This window comes from Homo sapiens, chromosome 3 (assembly GCF_000001405.40).
Source record: "Homo sapiens chromosome 3, GRCh38.p14 Primary Assembly".
NCBI lineage: Eukaryota > Metazoa > Chordata > Mammalia > Primates > Hominidae > Homo > Homo sapiens.
In genome coordinates this window covers 65,608,906-65,630,592 of record NC_000003.12, presented here as the reverse complement: position 1 = coordinate 65,630,592, position 21,687 = coordinate 65,608,906, and the positions used below count along the sequence as shown (strand labels likewise).

The 21,687-nt window shown below is 37.3% G+C and overlaps 1 protein-coding gene across 6 annotated transcripts in view; it reads left to right on the top strand.

Moving 5' to 3' along the window:
• MAGI1 (membrane associated guanylate kinase, WW and PDZ domain containing 1) overlaps positions 1 to 21,687 on the top strand; it is a 685,393-nt gene that overhangs the window by 408,326 nt on the left and 255,380 nt on the right. For all 6 annotated transcript variants that reach the window (NM_001033057.2, NM_015520.2, NM_001365904.2 and 3 more), the window contains exon 2: positions 8,505 to 8,621. In NM_001033057.2, the coding sequence (NP_001028229.1) occupies positions 8,505 to 8,621 (117 nt within the window). The remainder of the gene's footprint in view (positions 1 to 8,504; positions 8,622 to 21,687) is intronic.

The window sequence follows — 21,687 nt, the reverse complement described above, 5'->3', positions numbered from 1 at the left end:
ATGGCCTCCAGCTTCATCTAGGTTGCTGCAAAAGACATTATTTTGTTCCTTTTTATGGCTGAGTAGTATTCCATGGTGTATAGATATCACATTTTTCATTATCCACTAGTGCTTCTCTTTTTAACCTCAACCTGAGCCACCCTCTGTCTGAGCTTCATGCTGTTTCTCTAGCATACCAACCTCTTTCCTCCTTCGAAACTTTTGCATATGCCATTCACTCTGCCTGGAATAGTCTTTCCCCAACACTTTGCAGACCTAGCTAGCCTCTCATCCTCCTTTAGTTCTCACCTTAACAATTGTCTCTGCCTGGAGGTCATGTCTGTTCGTCCTTCCTAAAGCAGGCATATACCCTGCTGCTCAGGGGCTCTGTATTGTCCTTGTTGCATCCTCAGGGCTCACAGGGTGTTTAGCTCTAGGCACTTAATAAATACATGTTGAATTAGTGAATGAAACTCCCCAAATGTTTAAGTGTATTATAAGTGTGCATGTATGTTTATAGGTACATAGGCATACAGAGGACACTGTACCAAAATATTAATTGTGCTGTAAATGAAGTCACAGGTGATTTTAACTTTGTTTGTTGTACGTTTGTGTATTTTTAAAATCTTGTGATTAATTCATATTGCTTTTTCATTGTGGTTAAATATATATAACATAAAGTTGACCATTTTTCCCTTTCTTAAGTATGTGGTTCTGTAGCATTAAGTACATTTATATTGTTGTGCATCCGTCACCGCCATCCATTTCTAGAACTTTTTCAGCATCCACAAGTGAAACTCCGCACCCATTAAAGGGTAACTCTCCAGTGATTTATATTGCTTTTACAATAAGAAAAAAATATAGAAAAATATATTAGAAAAAGCAAGTAGCAAACATCCTTTTCAGATAAAGCTCACTTAAATGAATTTTGGATTGTAAGTTTGAGTGACTATAAAACAAGCTAATTTGTTTTTCAATTTATAATTTTGTGTTTAAAAAATCCTATTCTTTATAAAACTGAAGTGCTGAACTGATGGATTTTTTTTTTTTTTGCTGTAATAGCACCACTGCAGTACATACCATTTGTTGTTGTCCTAATAAATGGACTTTTCCTACAACTATAATCATTTTTTTGAAGAAATTGTGTGCTAAAGCAGAATCACCTGAAAGTGTGATTAGTTCAAAATCCTTATGCAGGTTCTCCTTAGCATTGAAAATTTGAACTGTATTAAAGTGTCAATTCTAATTGTAATGAAATACCATTCTTTGACCTTCTGGATGTGGATGTAGCTGTGGAGCACATGGAATACACACAGGGAATTGTATTCTGCCCTCTCGGTCACAGATGGATACATTAAGAAGACTCAAAAGTGTTCTCTTGGGAAACCTGGTTTCTTGACCACAAAGATTCTTTCTACTGAGCAACATTCCTTTTCAGATCTCTATCCTAGGAGATAGAGATCAGTCCAAGCAGGGTCCCCTCATCATCCATCACCTTGAAAAGATGCTTCTGGTAAGAGTTGGTATGTAACAGAAAAAGAGACACGACACAACTTAGTTATATTAGGGGATCATTTCATGTTTAAATAATGGCAAGAAAAATTTATACCATAAATAAGTGCTAAAGGAACCCTATCTAGAATATATAAGAATATCTTTTTATCAAGAATAACTAGATAACCTAATAGGAAAACGTATAAGAAATGTGAACAGGCAAGTCACAGAAAGGAAAACATAAAAGACAATTTAAAAACTATAATAGAATGCTCACTCTCAGTTGTAATCAGTAATTATAAATTAATATAACACCAAGATATCATTTTATCTTTAGTAGATTGGGAAACATTTATAAAGTTGGAATGTGCAGAAAAGAGTTAGTGGCAGCTGGATGGAATGCTAAGGTGGCCCTTGGCTGGCATCTGGGAACTTGCATTTCAGGGAATTTCTTCTATTCTGATAACTGGTAAGAGTGGCTCACTATGTCTAGACTGCATGCCCAAATGCTATCATTTATGCTTTTTTTCCCCGAGAGTCTGGAGATTTATTTTGTGCCAGGCAAAGGCTGCTTACATGACCAACTCCCGGGCCCTGGGTGTCTAAGGAGCTTCTCCGGTGGGCAGCTTTTCATATGGGTTCTTTGGGGAATGTGTGTGTGTCCTGTGTAATGCCATTTGGAGATGACACTTGGAAACTTACACCCGATTTTCTCTGGACTTTGTTCTGTGAGACTTTTTCCTTTGCTGATTTTACTTTGTATCTTTTTGCTGGAATAAACCATAGCCATGAGTACAACTATATAACGAGTCCTCCGAATCTTCCTAGTGAATCATCCAATCAGGAGTGGTCTTGGGGACCTGAAAAATAGTGACAATAGCCAATGTTGGCCTAAGTGTGGGAAAACAGGACCACCAAAACTATTTATGGAAAGGCAAATTGGTACCACCATTTTGGGGATGAATTCAGAAATGTTAAGATAAATCAAAGATATCTATGTCCATTTTCAGGTTTAGATAATCTAGAGGGAAAAACCCCACACATTTGCTAAAAAAAAATTAGGGGAGGGAGGCATTACAATGACATTTATAGCAGCATTGTTTATATTGGAAATAGCTTAATTTTCTATGAAGGATAAATAAATTGTGGTTTATTTTAATATTGAATATTATACAACATTTAAAATAAGAAAAACTACATCCATCAAACATGCTTAACATTCTGTAAACTCATGTGGGTGAGAAAAGCAGAGTTACATTGCTGTAAATTTAGAAGACACAGAATTCCAGATATATAGATAAGATACAGAAATATAGCTGGGCTCAGTGGCTCAAGCCTGTAATCCTAGCACTTCAGGAGGCCAAGGTGGGCAGATCACAAGGTCAGGAGATCGAGACCAACCTGGCTAGCACGGTGAAACCCCATCTCTACTAAAAATACAAAAATTAGCTGGGCATGGTGGTGGTCACCTGTAGTCCCAGCTGCTCGGGAGGCTGAGGCAGGAGGATGGCGTGAACCCGGGAGGCGGAACTTGCAGTGAGCCAAGATCGCGTCACTGAACTCCAGCCTGGAGGACAGAGCAAGACTCCATCTCAAAAAAAAAAAAAAAAAAAAAAAAAAAAAAAAAAAAAAAAGATACAGAAATATAAAATAACGGCAAATCAAGAGAGCATCTAAGCCCCATTTTCCTCAGTTAAAATATAAAATTGTCTTAGAATAAACTCTGAACCCCTTTCTTGGAAAAAGTTCTATATATAGTCATGGTTGTTGCATAATGACTGGAATACATTCTAAGAAATGTGGCCTTAGGTGATTTAGTCATGCACACATCATAGAGTGCACTTACATAAACCTAGTTGGTATGGCCTACTAAACACCTAGGCTGTATGGTATAGCCCGTTGCTCTTGGGCTACAATCTGCACAGTATGTTACTTTCCTGAATACTGTAGGCATTTGTAACACAATGGTAAGTATTTGTGTATCTAAACATATGCAAACATAGAGAAGGTACAGAAAAAATACGGCGTTGTAATTTTGGACCCATGGTAAGTATGGCTTTGACCGGAACTTTGCTATACAGTGTATGACTGTGTTTCTGACCTATGTTCTCTTTTCTATTTACAAAATAAATCTTGAATTTCAAAGAAAGTGAAGATGCTATGACAAACTGTCTTCCAACTTATTTTATTGGCTCACTGCCCTTGACAATTAGTAGACAATTTATAGACATGTCTCTTGAATAATTGGCAATTAATTTGAGATTAGATGCCAAAATGTACAGTATTTTTAATAGAATGTGAAGGTTGAGACTTTTCATGTCCAAATGTCATGGAACTCAGAGTAAATGTTAACTGGCAGCATAGTAAACTCTGTCTTTTTGCACATCTGCAGTAGAGGGGAGTTTTAGTTTGATGACCATAAACCCTAGCTACCTTGGCTAGTTTGAATATAAGCTTAGGTGTAAACCAAGAGCTTATACTTAAGAATGCCTTCCAGGTGGGGCATGGTGGCTCACACTTGTAATCCCAGCACTTTGGTAGGCTGAGACAGGAGGATTGCTTGAACCCAGGAGTTCAAGACCAGCCTAGGCAACATAGTGAGAACCTGTATCTACAAAAATTTAAAAAATAGCTGAACATAATGGTGCATGCCTGTAGTCCCAGCTACTTGGCAGGCTGAGGCTGGAGGACTGCTTGAGCCTAAAAGGTCAAGGCTACTGTGAGCCATGATCACACCAATGCACTCCAGCCTGGGTGATAGGGTAAGACTCTGTCTCCAAAAAAATAAAAAAAGTAAAATGGTTTCCAATCTATATGTCCCTGGTTTATCTTGATAGTTACCACATATGATCCATAAGGATGTACAAATCTTTGTTATATATGTGATAAAAAGTTACTGTATCTGAAAACTCCTTTGGAATGTTGCTTTTGATTTAAGCATTTTGGATATCATAGACGTCTTTGCCGTGGCTCAAATGATAAATGTTAGTGTCTTTTTAATGTCAAGAACTCTTGTCACCTAAGAGAAATTTAAAACCCTACATTGCAGGCAATGGGAATTTTGCTGGTAAACATTATTTTTTTACTCAATTTCTAGAGTGCCTTATACCTCAAGCTGGAGTTAGCAGGTAGAGAGATCACATATCAGTGACTTACTAGTTGATTTCATTTCCTGAACTTCAGCCCCAGCACAATGCCTGGAATACATTAACCACACACTAAATGTTTATTAATGAGTTTACATAGGTCCACACTATTTTAGCACAGGTAGATTTTTATTCACTTCTAGAAACACTAGAAATATCCTTTCATCCAGATCTCCTTAGGTCTATATTTTGTTTCTGGCTATTTCTAAGCCAATAGAATAAATTTGGTTTGCATGGATTTTTTTAAAAAAGAGTAAGAGTTCATGTTTGAACTGATTTTCTTTCTTTGCCCCCTCACCTCAATAATCGTCCATTCAACAACATCATAATTATAATTTCCATCTTTCACTGAGTGTTTTCTTTTTGCCAGGCACTGTCTGAATGTATCATCCCATTTAATCCTCACAACAATCTTGTGACAGAGCTAATATTACATCAGTGTTCTATTTTTACAGTTGAGGAAAGCAAGGTTCAGAGATTAAGCCCTGTTCTCAGACTCACCAGCTAATAAACAGTTGAGCCAGGATTCAGAAGTAGGCACGTCTGGCTTAACTACCTAGATTTACTTTCTTTTTCCTTTACTTCAACTCTCTAAAGAGAGAACTACGCAACCTGAACATTGACTCACACATAGTACTCATCCAATCATCCAATCACTGTATATATTTTAAACTTTTGAAATCGATTTTATTGGTATAGCTTACATATAATAAAACATACTTGTTTTATGTATACAGTTCTGTGAATTTTGACAAATATATAAACCAATGTTATTAATCTCAATCAAGAATATTATATTGGGGCCAGGAGTGGTGGCTCACACCTGTAATCCCAGCACTTTGGGACGCCGAGGTGGGCAGATCACTTGAGGGCAGGAGTTCGAGACCAGCCTGGCCAACATGGTAAAACGCCATCTCTACTATAAATATGAAAACTCGCTGCGCGTGGTGGAAGATGCCTGTAATCCCTGCTACTCGGAAGGCTGAGGCATGAAAATCGCTTGAGTCTGGGAGGCAGAGGTTGCAGTGAGCTGAGACTGTGCCACTGCACACAAGCCTGGGCAACAGAATGAGACTCCATCTTAAAAAAAGAAAATATTATATTGGCATCTCCTCCAGAATCTTCCCTTGTGTTCCCCATTTTAAAAACTGATGTTAAAAATATTATATATTCACAGGATATTATAAAAAATAATATAGAGGCCCCGTGTATAGAATCCTCCATGTATAGAAGTCATGTAGAAGTCCTTCACCCTGTTTTCTCAATTTCCAATGGGGAAGACCCATAGATCCATAGATTTTATTCCCTTATGCCCTTTGCAGTCAGTTTTTGCCTACCTTCCGCTCTCTGTAACAACTGAACTGTTTTCTCTCACTATAAATTAGTCCGTTCCAAAATTTTTTAGTCCATCCCAAAACTTTCTATATGAATGAAATCATGCAATATTTTATCTTTTGTGTCTGACTTCTTTTGCTCAACATTCTGTGTTTGAGATTCATCAGTATTAATGCATGCATTAGTAGTTTCTTTTAATTTCTATGTAACACCCCAGTGCTTGATTATACCACAGTTTGCTTATTCATTCACCTTTCGATGGACATTTGGGTTGTTTCCAATTTTTGGCTATTTGTAAGTAAAGTTGCTGTGAAGATTCATCTACGAGATTTTTTTTTTTGTGGACTTGTTTTCATTTCTGTCATGTAAATAAGGGTGGAATTGTTGGGTCACTTGGCTATTGAAGGTATGACTTTCTAAGATATTGACAAATTGTTTTCCTAAGAGGACGAACCATTATGCCTGCTAAACAGTATATTTGAGTTCCTGTTTCTCTACAACCTTGCCAACACTTGATACTTTCAGTCTTTTTACTTTTTGTTATTCAAGTAGTTACTTAGTGGGATCTCATTGTGATTTTATTATTTTTCCTCTAATGACTAATGATGTCTAACATCTTTTTATATGCTTAATAGTCACATATATTCCATTGTGAACTGTCTGTTCAAACCTTGTGCTGATTTTTTTGGGGGGTGGCTTCATGTGGCATGTGGGTGTCTTCATTCAGTAAATACTTGATGAATGATTGAATGACCTAAGATTGGTTTGAATATATGTATTTTTCCTTTCGGTGACTTGAAACAGTAGATAGAATACCAAATAAAATAGCTCAAATTGGGTTTTATTATCTATTTCAAAATGAGCAGCTGTAGCTGGAATCTTATATTGAATGTGATATTAAAGTAAAGATCAGTAGTTTCCTGCCCTAGGTAGGAAATACCATCATCTTAACCATCACTGTCATCCTCATGATTTACTCTTTTTGACCATAGGGAAGTTACCATTTGAAGGCATGAGTTTTGTAGCTCACGTGACTCCTGGGTTGCTGCATTGTTTCTCTAAGGCTAAAAATGCTCTTACCTAATTTGTATCTTGTCTAAAAATGGAAAGACAGTCTCAGCCTAGTTATTTTTAGCTGTCATTGAAGCATCTTTCTCCATTAAGAGTGAATGCTAGTTAGGTTGATCTACAAGCCTTCTGTTGATCCTGTAGACTGTAATTTGTGATTATGATTTTTTCAAATGTATCTCTTTTCTATGACACATTTTTGTGATAATATAATATTTTTAGCTTTTCTTTTGTTCTCTTAAGTGTAGAGAATTGCAAAGAAATAAACACAGACTCACTTAGATAACTATGCTTAACAATAACAACAACAACAACAACCAAAAAGCAACATACATTTAGTGTTTGAAAAGCAACACAGGATAGGGAGATGTCTATGTCTATGTCTCTCTCTCTGTCTGTGTGATGAAGAGTGAAGTCTACTTATTTATCCCCAGCTCAAGTCCTTTTTTGTACATGAAACTGTTGTTAAAACTTTCATATGATTCCTCGTATTACCCAGTCTCTCCTTTTCCAAATTCATTTTTACAGAAAAGGAATCAGACATTATGCACAGTTCCACACATTTTCTCCCAATGTCAACCCATGAAAATCTAGCTTATGCAAAGTAGTTGTTATATGGATGAATTGTGCTTTAATTGCTCCCTTTTGGTTGTTTCCAGGTCTTTGTTTTTATTTATTTACCGTCATAAAAAAAGCTATAGTAGGGCCAGATGCAGTGGCTCACACCTGTAATCCCAACACTTTGGGAGGCCGAGGCGGGCGGATCACTTGAGGCCGGGAGTTTGAGACCAGCCTGTTCTACATGGTTCTGAAGCCCTGTCTTTACTAAAAATATATAAATTAGCTAGGTGTAGTGGTGGGTGCCTGTAACCGCAGCTACTCGGGAAGCTGAGGCAGGAGAATCGCTTGAATCTGTGAGGCGGAGGTTACCGTGAGCTGAGATCGCGCCATCGCACTCCAGCCTGGGTGACAGAATAAGACTCCGTTTCAAAAAATAAAAATTAAAAAAATAAAAAAAGCTGTAGTAAATTCATGGAAATTTGAAGAGATTACAAGTATACCTGTAGAGTAAATTCCTACCATTCGAATCCCTGGTCAAAGAACATTTTATGATTTGACAGTTATTGCTGGATTGTCTTCTTTAAGGTTTCAGTAATTTATGCTTCTAGTAATAGTGTCTGCAAGTGTCTATGGCACATATTTAAATGTAATAGCCTACATTAAACACTTTGATATTTTGGCCTTCTAGTATTATGTGAGATAGGATCTCTAAATTAATGCATTGCCAGTGCTGTTTTATCTTTATGACATTCTGGCTTGACTTTACCCCTGCAGAGGAAAACCTAAAGTACATCCTCCTAATGACTAGGGGTGGCAGGCTAGAACTGCATCCTGTGGCTTTCTTGCAATCAGTTCTTGGCTACTTCTTTTCTAGGAGGCCCTGTGTTGATGTGGTATGTCTATTTTATGTATTTCCTGCAGGAGGAAGGCTGAACAAGGACCTGCGACATTTTCTCAATCAGCGATTCCAGAAGGGGTCTCCTGATCATGAGCTCCAGCAGACCATAAGGGATAACCTTTACCGCCATGCTGTGCCTTGTAAGTAGTTGGACTTTGGCATCTCACTGCTGTGTGTGTGTGTGTGTGTGTGTGAAAAGTCCAGGGGAGAAAGGAGATCTCAACAACTGGTTCTGGAACACCTGGTGGTTGGCCTACTGAGTGACTCCTTAACTCAAGCAAATCATAATTCAATAACAGTGTCGTGGTGTGCCTGGGTTTCAGTCATGGCTCTGCAATGTGGGGCAAATTATCTACCCTTTGTAAGGCCCACTTTTCACATTAGTGGAAAGGACGTGTTAGTAATACTAGCTTCATGGAACTGCTATGAGGAGTCAATGAGATCAGGCACAGAAGGCATTTTCTAAGGTAATGGTGTGCTGTGAGCCTCCATAAATGTTAACATTTGCTGTTATTAATGGAGTAGACCTGGCCAGCGGCCTTCGGACTGACCTTTGTGGAGACCCCCAGTGAAGGGAATACCCCAGTGGGCTCTGTCTTCCTTCCCAGGGTTCTCCTTTTGGCCAACTTCATCAGATTCATAAGTCAGGATTTTATGTATAATTTTGTTCAAAGAAATGATTTCCACAGATAAAAAATCCAAACCCCCAAACCATTAGATTACACCAAATCTGAAAAAACAAGACACAGAACATAGGAATGCTGAAAGCAGAGTGTCTTTAAAGAAAGGCAGCCTGTCTGTCTATGGTTGGATAAATTCGCAGCTCCGTTGTAGTGAAGTATCACTGTACTGTGGCACACTGTGTTCCTGGTTGTTTAATTTCTTTTAAAATACAAGGGAAGAATGATTCTGGTTTTATTACTTAGAATTTATTACTTAGAATTTTCCTTTCTCCTCTCTATCACCCAGTCCTTTATTTTCCTAGACATACCATTTTTTGAACCAGCAAAAGAAAGGAAGAATAATTTAATGTTCCAGGTATCGTGTTTATTTCTATGATTTGTTTGCTATAAATGGTTTTCTTTTAAAAAAAAAACTTGCAAATGATATGCTAGAGTGCTAATGTTTTCTGATAAACATTAGCTAATTCTTTCTGTAAAAGAATAAGCAGAACTAATCTCAGGCATTCTGTAGATTTTAAAGGACTTAGACTATAGTTCTAGATGATAACCTCCACAGATCAGATTCTAGAATAGCCCCTGGCTTTCCATTTTACTCATTAATAAAACAGAGGCTATGAGAGGAGAAGAGGTTTGCTGCAAGTAACTTGGGACAGGGCCCCAAGGTTGCCTCTGTCCATGGAGTGGCTAAGCTGCATTTGACGGAGAGGAGGTTGTGATGATGTGTTAATGTGAACTTGTGGTCCTCAGTTCTTTTAGTCTTTTAGCATTGAAGTTATAAACTGTAGTCCTAGTAATAACCTCGTAGTAATTTCTTATATTTTGGCTTAATAATAATTAATTCCTAATGCTAATCACATAGGTAGGGCAGGGATTATCATTCTATTTTTACAAATCAAGAAACTGAGGCAATGAGGAAGCCAATAAAATTAAAGCCATAGGTGATCAGGGCTTCGAGTCTCCTGAGTTCACCATTGCCCTGCTTCTTCTGCACTGTCAGGCATTCCTCCTATAGTAACCCTTTGAAGTTGGGGGTCTTTAACACCCATTTTACGGATGAAGAAACAAAGTCACGGGGAGGGTCAGTAAGTGGCAGATCTGGTCTTTTTCACTCTTATGTCATCTAGGGCTGTTTTCATAGGTGCCCTGTAGCTGCCTCTGAAGTTATAGTACAGCAGGTTGAATACAATTTTGCAGAAATCAGTAATTGCAGAATCATGATTGTTCTCTGTGTAATTTTTCCCCTACTTAGATTCCAATTTAAGAAATGGGGATGAAGCAAATGAGCACACCATTTCTTGATGCATCTGTGGTGTTACCATGGTTACATTTTGGCATGCTCTCCCATTTATTTTTTCCACTGATTTATTGGACCTGACTGTGAGCTAAATGGCTTGATTTTAAGCTTACCACTATGTAGGAATTGGGGCAAAAACGAACTCTGTCTTTTAAAAACAGTGGAAAAATCATGTTTGTTTTTGCTGGTATAAAGCCCCTTGGCATTGATGTTTTATGGCTGTGAAACCAGTAAATCAGGAATTTGGAAAGCAGAAATGGTGTTCCTACTAAAAGAGAAAACAGGTAACAATTCATTTTACACTTTCTTCATAAAATGGGAAGGAAATTCAGAAGAGGTCTGTTTTGGAGTCTGGTGGAGCGTGTGTGCCTTTGAACATGAGTAGACTGGGGCTTACTTGGGATTCTTTCGACTTATGTTACTCTGGCCACATTTGTGTTTATTTTGATTCTATGGCCCATGTGACTGAGAAAGCCAAGCTCTCCACCAGCCTGTTGTGCTAATGGATTAGGAAGCCGTGGATTTGGGGAATGCATTCTCTTGATGATGATGTAACTGTGCTGCAGGGAAATGGGCTCGTGTAATCTGTATATTCCAGAACTTCCTGCCACTGACATTTCATTGACTTCGGTATTTTGAACAGAGGTGACCTCATGAACAGGTGCTTGTGGTGGGGGTAGACATCTTTCCCTGTGCATTTTAGGAGGCTCATGGGTCATTGGAAATGAAGAAATAAAGCTCCTTCATTCTCAGGTTATTTTTAGCATTGCCATAATGTAGTGGAGCTGTATGTGCATCATAGCACACTTTACCACTTACGGCTCAGTTTATCTTAATTCTCTGGCAAAGGAAATGCAGGTAATAGCACCCCTGTTTTACTGGCCAAAAGATGAAGCAACAAAATTGAACTTTCTCAAAATTGTACCATTTGAAATGCCATATTACTCATTCCTCATCTGCTGCTATTTTACTTTTTAAAATTTGTAACGGCGTTGTTGAAATATAATTCACATACCATACAACTTACCTGTTTAAAGTGTTCATCCAGTGCTATTTTTGTTACAGTTATTATTATTCTCCACTCCCCTTTTATCTTCCCTTTATTCAAGAACTTTTATTATTTCTACAGTAAGAAGAAAGGGCATGTTAGTTGAAATTTAATTATATTTACCATTCAAAATACCACTAGAAAAACCCCAACAGAAAAGAGATGCAGATGCAGAATGAGTTCAGGGGCCTGTTGTGAAGTCTGAGGGCTACTCTGCTGGCTGTGTGGCCTGGCACAAGTCACATAACCTCTCTGAATCTCGTTGACCCTTCAGTAAAATGGAAATAGTAGTACTGACTCAACCACTGTCTTATCAGATACACATAGCAATCCTATAAGGTGAGTCTTATTAAAGGAAACAGAGGCTCAAGAGAGGTTAATAGTTTGCTTAAGGTCACACAGCAAGTAGCATTGTCAGGGTTAAACCAATTCTTTGTAACTCTCAAGTTGGGTGTTATTAGTAATAGCCTGATTAGAGTAATATACAAACAGACTATTGAGAGTAAAAGAAAAAAAAAAGTTTCTGATGGCTGAATTTAGAGCTCTAGTTGCTTAAAATAATGACGTTTTATCTGGTGGGTTTGGAAGCAATGGAAGGCACAATACCTTAAAAATAAGTATATTCTCTCTGATGTTCAAGTAATTCACTGGTTGTACAATATAATTTTAATAATGATTATTCAGATTCAAAAAAATCATTACATGATTTTCTTAGCATATCTAAGTTTATCTTATTTTCCATTAGATCTTTTCTTTGTGTACCTATGGAAAACCTTTGCAATGCTTGTAAACATGCCTACTTCTCTCATTCCTCAGAACCATCTGGCTAATATTTCTCTTTCTCCTCCTCCAGTTTTGGTCACATTCCCAACCCCTCCCACTCTGCGCTTCAACCCTACAAACTTCATATTCCAAACACACTTTGTGTCTTCTTATAAATGAGTACATATTATTTTTTCCTATTTCGCTGCCTATCTATCTGACCAGTTCACAGTCTTCTTTTTAAGTTTTAGCCAGATGCCACTTCCTCCACGAAGTCCTCCGTTGCTTCTGCAGATTGGGCCTGTTGCCCTCTCCCCCTACTCCCCAAGCTGCACTCCGTGACCTCCTTCATGCCTGTTTTGTGCCTGATTGTAGTGCCTGCTGCATGCCTGCCTGTCCTAATTAGATTCTAACTTTCATGAGTCAGGCAGCGTATCTAACTGAGTGACCAGGCCACTCCTAGCTTAGTGCCTGGACTATAGGATAAGTATTTGTTGAACGCATGAACAAATGAAGAAATGGAAAAAGATATTCTTTCTTTTTCTTCTTTTATTTTTTTCTTCCTTACTTAACATTTGAGAAAAACAGCAGAATTGCTTTGACCATAACGCTTTCAGAATATAAGGAAGGTCAGAGTCTTGAGCCCCAAAAAGGGTCATAGATGACTGATAAGGACTTCACTAATTACTTGGCTGGTACTCGAAGCACACAAGAAAAATGTCAAAGCTCCCATGAGCTTGGAGCTGGAGTGCCCGTTCACAGCTCCTCTTAATTGTAGTCTAGATATCACCGTACCTCCTGCATTGATAGCCTTCTTGTTTTATGACTTCTTGTCCTAGCTGATGTGACAACATCTGAGATTCTTGCTTTGGAATGGCCGCTTTTCCCATGAAGATAAATGCATTACCTGACAGGGCTTGTCATTTACTATACTGCTGCTGTCAAAACGAGATACAACTCATCCAGTAGTTCTGGTTCTCTGGAATGCTGTACAATGCCCCTCCCATTCCTCCTCACTTTTCTGGACTCAACTGTCATCTTTCTTTTCAAGCAAAGGTCACCTAAAAGAGGAAAGGATAAGTCAGTTTTGTTCTGCAGCTTAACACTTTGTTCATCAAGGCTCTTCCCAATACTGAGACCATTGTAACCAGTCTAAGAGGTATTGATCATTGACTTAAAGGACTTTACGGAGGGATTACATGTGTTTGATCTACAAGGCAATTTAAATTTGATGTGGTAAACATAGGTGATACTGGTCTTTATAAGATAGCCATATTCAAAAGGGCATTTTAGCATCTGCTATCATTGCCTATTATTTTAAATGGGACCATAAATTACCATTAGTTCTATTTGAACTTACAGTTTTCTCTTAAACATAGTTGTTTCCAGGATGGCTTGCCTAAAATCAACCACTTTTCCTGTGATCTTTGACAATTAGAGCTGATAACATGAACTAGACCTATTTGTCAGCAAGTGTCCAGGATAAAGAACTGGATGTTGGAAAATAGTTTGTCTCCTGGAATGTGCATACCTGTGTTCAGGTTGTGTTGGACACTGGTGGAATGCTTCCGGTCATAACTCATGAACTTGAGAGTTCTGCAAGCATCATAGGACTGATCAGATAAAGAGATAAAGGTCACTGGAAACTTTCTCTCTATTGCTGTTTCTCTGCCCTTGTCCTCTATCTAAACTAAGGGCTGTCTAAAAGGATTGCTTTAGCCTTTACAAAGCCTAGCCTGTGGCAAAACTATGACTAGTAACAATAGCAATAGCTCTCCAGCTTTTGGGTACCTACTGTGTACCGGATCCTCTGTCATGATATCTCTCTCTATCCCTTTCTCTTTCTCTATCATGTCATCTCTAACTTTGGCTTCATCTAAAGTACAACTCTTAAGGATCTGAACGCTTCGACTCTATCTCTTTTCTATTTAACCACAGATGTTTGTTGCGTATAATGTAAACAACATTTATCTTGATCAGCTTTCTACTCTTTTTCTCCCCTTCTCTTCTACCCATCATGACTGTATTTTCCCATGTGCCCTTGGCTTGTCTGTGATACGGGGACTCCTCCCACCTACTGACCCACCCCTTGCCTGCTTACACCTGTCCTTCTCCATTGAAACGTATTTGCTATGCATCGGTTTGCTAGTGGGCTTCCTTTAAGAAGACAAGCATTAGAACAAAGAAGTGAATGTTTCTTATTGTGGTATGAGGTTCCCTTGTCCATCATATATTTGTGACTTTAAATGTGGTTCTGTCCAAATTATCCTGTGTAAGAGGATGTTCCAACAGAGGACTTTCATGGCTAGCAACGAATTCTTAGGCTTTTGATTTGTTTTTGTACTCCTCATAATGTTTAGCACAAACTGTGTACATAGAAATCACTTTAAACACAAGATTGCCCATGTCAAGGGCGTTACTGTGTCAAGGATATCACTGCACTGCTTGTACGTGGTTTCCTATTTCACCATGTATAAGGTGAGCTATGATTTATGTTTCGCGAAGTAAGGTAATAGTCCAGGCAAGGAGTTTTGTGCCAAATTAAAAAATCATGGGATTAGATAACAATACTTTTTGTTTAGATGTGATTTGGAGCTTAGAGTATGGGCTCAGATAAGTGTAAACACATTTTTATCCATGGGACTCTCCGATGGAGCACTGGAAGGTGGTGAGGGAAGCGGGAAGGTTCTTTGTTATTCTGGAGTTTTATTCATTGAGGAACTTGGAGCATCCCTGGAACCCTCCTCATAAATGCCAGCAGCATCCCCCATATTTGTGACAACTCAGCAGAAAACCACTTTGCATTTCTACAGTGCCCCTTCAGGAGCATTGAAGTGTGGAATCTATATTTACCTCTTGCTAGGGGAGAAGTGAGTTTTCCTGTTAGTGAGTTTATGAGAAGGACCTGGACATTCCTGACCGTGACAATTCCTCTTCTCTTGGGGACTCTGTCTGATCCCAGGGAAGCGTGCATTCACTGTCCATCCCTGCTGGAAATCTTTGGGTGGGTCTCACGGGGAAGACAGTGGTTTTGAGATTTGCTGGGGAATGGGTTTGGTAAGTGTAATTTTGGGGGTGATTTATTAACAGTCCCCTTGTTAACAAAGATCTAAAGCCATTTTCTCCATTGTAGCTTTTGTCAGCAATAAAACTGACATTGTGATGGGTGGATTATGCCATTTATTACAAGGCTTTGTTTATGCTAGTCCATGTCAGTTACTTCTATTGATACTCCACCTTACTTACCTTTTTCTTGCTTGGTTTTTCTCTTTCCTTCTTTCTTTCTTTCTTTTTTTTTTTTTGGAGACACAGTCTCACTCTGTCTCCCAGGCTGGGGTACAGTGGCATGATCATAGCTCAGTGCAGCATCCAACTCCTGGGCTCAAGTGATCCTCCCACCTCAGCCTCCAGAGTAGCTGGGACTACAGACACATGCCACCATGCCTGGGTCTTTTTTATTTCTGTTTTTGATCTTATGTATTTTATCAGTCCTTCTCCTTACAGCTTATCTAGAGCCATTTTTTTTAAAGCTTTTAGATCGGCTCTGAAATTCTAAATTCTGCACTAGACAGGGCAGCTGGCATTCATCACTCTTTGTCAGTAAAGAGCCTACGTACTTTACAAATATTGTTTGGTTAGTTGTACCATGATGCTAGTGGTAGTTATTACTGTCATTACATATGAGGTAAAGGGGGAGCAGAGAGGCTGAGTAACTTATCTGATACCATGCTTTCTAATTTAAAAATTGATACCTTTTTTTAAAAAAACCAAGTTGTGTTTATTGAGTATGCCCAATGTGTCAGGAACTCTGTTAAACACATTACTTACATTATTTCCTTTTATCCTCTTAATCTTTTGAAGTATAAGCTATTATTATATCCATTTTCCAATGAAGAAAATTAGATTTATAGAGGCTCAAGTGCATACACTTACAGAGCTGAGTTTGATTTCAGTCTGATAGACCCCAAAGTTATTATCTTAAACCACTGCATTTTACAGCCATTTGTACTATTAGTTTACTTTAGCACAATGGCGTATGTAATGGAAAAGAGAACCACTGGAAAGGCCCTTCCAGCACCTTCAGGCCACCTTTCAGGGCCCATTCAGCATAGTACACTTGGACTCATGCCCTGCCCCTGTGTGTCATTAGCGCTTGTCTTGTTGAGTCTAGAACATTCAGATGTGATGGGCTTTCAGGTGTGGTGGACCTGAGAGGCTGGCAGGTTCTACCACTTACCAGTTTTGTTGGCTTGGGCAGGTTACTCATGCTTCCTGTGACTCAGTTTCCTCATTATCTTTACTGATGTTTAGAAGAAGTATGGACGCACCCAGCCATGAGCTTGATACTTTGTAGGCCCTCTGTTAAGACTGATCCTTCTTCCTTACCCCTTTCCCTTCCCTTTCTAGCATGACTTCCCAAACACTCTTTTCAGTTTCTCTTTAGGCTTTGAGGCCTTATTTATATGAAGATTCTTTTTTTTCTTTAAACAAGCTAAGTTTTAAAAAACTGACTTTCCGGCATTTGTTGAGTAACAACCCAACACTAGATGCCAGGCAAGAATATAGTGAAGATTAATAATTGGATGATTTAGCCAATAATAGGCATGCTTGAAACAGCACATTTTTTGCCTTTTCCCAGCATCAGCTAATTCCCCAATGTTCTGTTTCTTTGTATTTCTTATTATACGTTGTTAACCCTAATTGCCATTGTATAGTTGCTGAGTGGATAGAGTCCTATTGGAGAAAAAATGGGAAAAAAATTACAAACGTAAAAGCTCATAACACTGGACTTGATTTATATGTGTCTGTTAATAGATTCAAATAAACATGGTTTGGCTGGTGTTCTTTATTGTAAGGTTCTCAGGGATGTAGAAAAGGGAAAGCCATGGGAGTTTTAGATTAAATTTAATTAGAGTTGTGGTAATTTATAATCTTCTTGTGAAAACATGTTAGATCAGACCTCACCACTTAATAATAACATCTGTCATTAATTGAGCACTTACTGTATGCACCAGGCACTGTGCTAAGTGATTTACAAGCTGTGTTAGCCATCTCTGAACCCTGTAGGGCATAGTGTTATCAGTCCTGTATTCTGTATTCTGTAGTATGAGTGCAGCATTTGAGGTGTGGAGAGCTTAGGTAGTGGCATCTCCAGGGAGGCACAGTTAAATAATGATGGAACTCAGATTCAAACCTAGTTCTAACCACCTCCACAGTCCAAGCTCTTGGTTTATTTTTCTGCCTGCAATCACCTTAAAGACCATTTTTAAAAATTAACATATTAAATTTTAAAAAAGAGTCTCCTCCTAATAACATATGGATTAGTATTTGGCTGAGTGTAGGATACTAATATATCTATTTGGCAGTCATGTTAATTTATTTAATTGCTTTATAATTTTAGCTGACATTTTCCATCAAGATTTGTTGCAATTATAAAGCAATTTCCATGACGATTTATGAAGGCACATGAAAGTTTTCACAGTATCCTTACCATGTATTATTTATTTTGAGGAAAGGATATTTTAGTTTCCCAAGAATCATTTGAGTCAAGAGAATGAGAAATAATATATTTTAAAAAATTTCCTTGTATCAAATGTGTTCAATAAACGTAAGTAAAATTTCTGGCTTCTATAGTGGATTGTGTGTATTTCTTCTGTGGTCCAAGTAAGGAAATTTCACCAATTGTGTTCTGATTGCCCTACCTAGTTTGTGTTGGGGAATGAGCTGCCCAAAATTTAAACAAGAAAACGTCAATTGTGTTATTTTCACTACAATATGAATAAAGTAGACTTTTAAAATGATCAATGACATATTTTTTTATTGCATTTAAAATTAACCAATAACACATCATTATTTTTAGGAAATACATGCTAATGTATTTAGGGGTAAATGGCCATGGTGAATGATGCAACTTATGCTCAAATGGCTACAAAACATTAAAAATGGTTACAAATATATTATGTGTGGGAGGAGGGAGAGAGAGGACAAATGACAAGCTGGTAGGTTAAAACGTTAGTAACCAGCAAGCCTGAGTAAAGTGTGTATGGTGTTATTTGTACTATTCTTATTCTTGCACTGTTCTGTAAATTTGATATTTTCTATAAAAGGAAAATCAACCTATACCAAAAAATAAAAAATAATCAAACAATTATAGTTTGGGAGAAAGGGGATTATATGTGAATGTTATGTTTTTGTCTCTCTTCCCCCTTACTTATATCAGTGTTTTTAGTCTAGAATTGAGATTTTGTTACTATGTTGATAGATCGTGTTCATTAAAGTATAGAGAGACTAGCCTGAAAGATATTGTGCACATATTAAAACAAGAATCTAGCACTTACAGAATACCAAGTTTATGCTAAGTGTTTTCATTATAGTTTCCTATTGAATACTTGTAGAAATCTTATAAAGGAAGTAATTACTATTAGTATCTTCACTGATGAGGAAACTGAGGCTAATAAAGTTAAGTGGCTTGGCTTACAATTATCGAATAGGACTGCAGCTCAGTCAGGTTGGTTACAAGAACCCCCACTAATAACCACCACTGTTTCTTTCCTCCGACTATATATGTGTATATATACTATGTATGTATACACATACAGTATATAAACATATACTATATACTGTATATACACATGTATGACACTATATATAGTATACTATAATAGTATAGTATATATAATACTAGTATATATATATACTGTATATACTAGTATAGTATATATATACTGTATATACTAGTATAGTATATATAGTGTCATATATGTGTATATACAGTATATAGTATATATAGAGTATTCTATCTGCTGTATGTACATATATAGTATATGTGTGTGTATACATGTGTGTATGTATAGTATATATACAGTATAAACAGTATACTATATATACTGTATATACAGTATACATACATACTATATATGTATATACAGTATACAGTGTTCTGTATATATGTATATATACTGTATATAGTATACTCTATATAGTATATGTATAGTATATAGTGTACATATATGTACATATAGTATATACACATAGTATACTATACTATTTATAGTATATATACTATATATGTATATAGTATATATAGTATATACTATAGTATATAGTACTACACGTGTGTATACACACATATATACCATATGTGTATATACAGCATAGATGGAATACTGTATATATACTATATACTATTTATACTATATATTATATACGTATATAATATACTATATATTATATATGTATATAGTACATATACTATACACTATATGTATGTATATATGTATATAGTATATATACTATATACACACTATATGTATGTATATATGTATATAGTATATATACTATCTACTATATAGTGTCTATATACTATATAGTATATACTATCTACTATATATACTATCTACTATATAGTGTCTATATACTATATAGTATATACTATCTACTATATTACTATCTACTATATAGTGTATATGTACTATATAGTATATACTATCTACTGTATATATACTATATACTATATATACCTATATATACTATATATACTATATACAGTATATATATATGCTATATATATACTGTATATATACTATATACTATATTTGTACCTAAATGAACCTGACGTTTTTCTCCTTTCCCGTCTCATAGGATAAGATTACAAACAGACCTTATAGAATTATTGGAGTTGCAGTTTCTGTATTCTTAGATTTCATCAATTGACTTGAGGGATACATATTCCTTATTTCCATCTCGAAATGGCTTTACACAGTCTCAAGTTCACTTAATTAGTGACTTGGGAAAAAAAAAGATATATCTGTTTCAGTGGAATTTTGAAAAAAAATAGCTGCCTGAGTTGTAGGTAAAGTGTTCTTTAAATGTATAATATGACTTGGAAATAAGACATCATGTGAAATCATCAGGTGGACTGAAATTCTGTTCGAATTCTATCAGTGTTGCCTGCCTGACCCTAGCTAATTCTGGGAATCTAGATGGCTTTTTCCCCAGTGGATAGAAGTTTGTGGCTAATACAGGTTTCATTAACTTTTTTGTTTGATGTTCAATTCTAGTTCTCCCAGAGGCGAGCTATTGAAAGGTGGGCATTCAGTGTCTTGCATTGCTTCAGAATTAGATACCCCATTCCAATCCACTTGAGTCAAGGATGCTGTAGGGGAATTTTGTAACTTCTTAGCTTACTGTTGAGTGGATCATTTATAAATCAAGAAACAGTTAGATATCTAAGGAACATGGAGTAGGTAAAAAAAAAATGTTGTTGATATAATAATTGCTGTTTTGTTCTGAATTTGTATTATATACTTAAGGGTCTGGCCTGTCCGGGCACATCAAAGTTTCTTTCTCTTATTCCAGATTCTGGCAGTAGAATGCAACGATTGTGAACAATTGCTTGTGCTAGTCATATGCGGGTTCTAACAGAGACCCTTTAAAAAAACTGAAGGAAGCAGGGCGTGATGGCTCAAGCCTATAATCCCAACACTTTGGGAAGCCAAGATGAGCAGATCATTTGAGCCCAGGAGTTTGAGACCAGCCTGGGCAACATTGGGAGACCCCATCTCTACAAAAAATTACCCAGGTATGGTGGTGCACACCTGCAGTTCTAGCAATTCAATAGGCTGAGGTGGGAGGATCACCTGAGTCTAGGAGGTCGAGGCTGCAGTGAACTATGAGCATGCCACTGCACTTCAGGGTGGGCAACAGAGCCAGACCTTTTCTCAAAAAAAAACAAAAACAAAAAACAAAAAAAACCCGGTGGCTCGTACCTGTAATCCTAGCACTTTGGGAGGCTGAGGCAGGTGGATTGCTTGAGGTCGGGAGTTCAAGACAAGCCTGACCAACATGGTAAAACCCCATCTCTCCTAAAAATACAAAAAATTAATTGGGCATGGTGGCACGTACCTGTAGTCCCAGCTAGTTGGGAGGCTGAGGCAGGAGAACTGCTTGAACCTGGGAGGCAGAGGTTGCAGTGAGTCAACATCAGGCCACTGCATTCCAGCGTGGGTGACAGAGCAAGACTCCATCTCAAAAAAAAAACAAAAAAAAGAGAGAGAGAGAGATAGAGATGAAATAAATATAGCAAGTTATAAAAATCTTAACTGCATGGTTTGGTAAATTTTTACGCACACACATGCACCACGCACACTCATCCATATAACCATTTCCCAGGTCAATATTTTGAACACTGAGGTTTTCAGCAGCTCCCTTGTGTCTCCTCTTATTGAACGCTTCCCTTCCTTCCCAAAAGTAACCACGATTCTGATGCTATCACCCTGGATTATTTTTGCCTGTCTTTGAATTTCATATAAATGGAATGATAAAGTATGTATTCTTCTGCTGTAACTTTGTTTGCTAACATTACTCTCTGAGATTCATCCATGTAGTTTGAATGTAGCAGTAGTTTGATTTTTTTAATT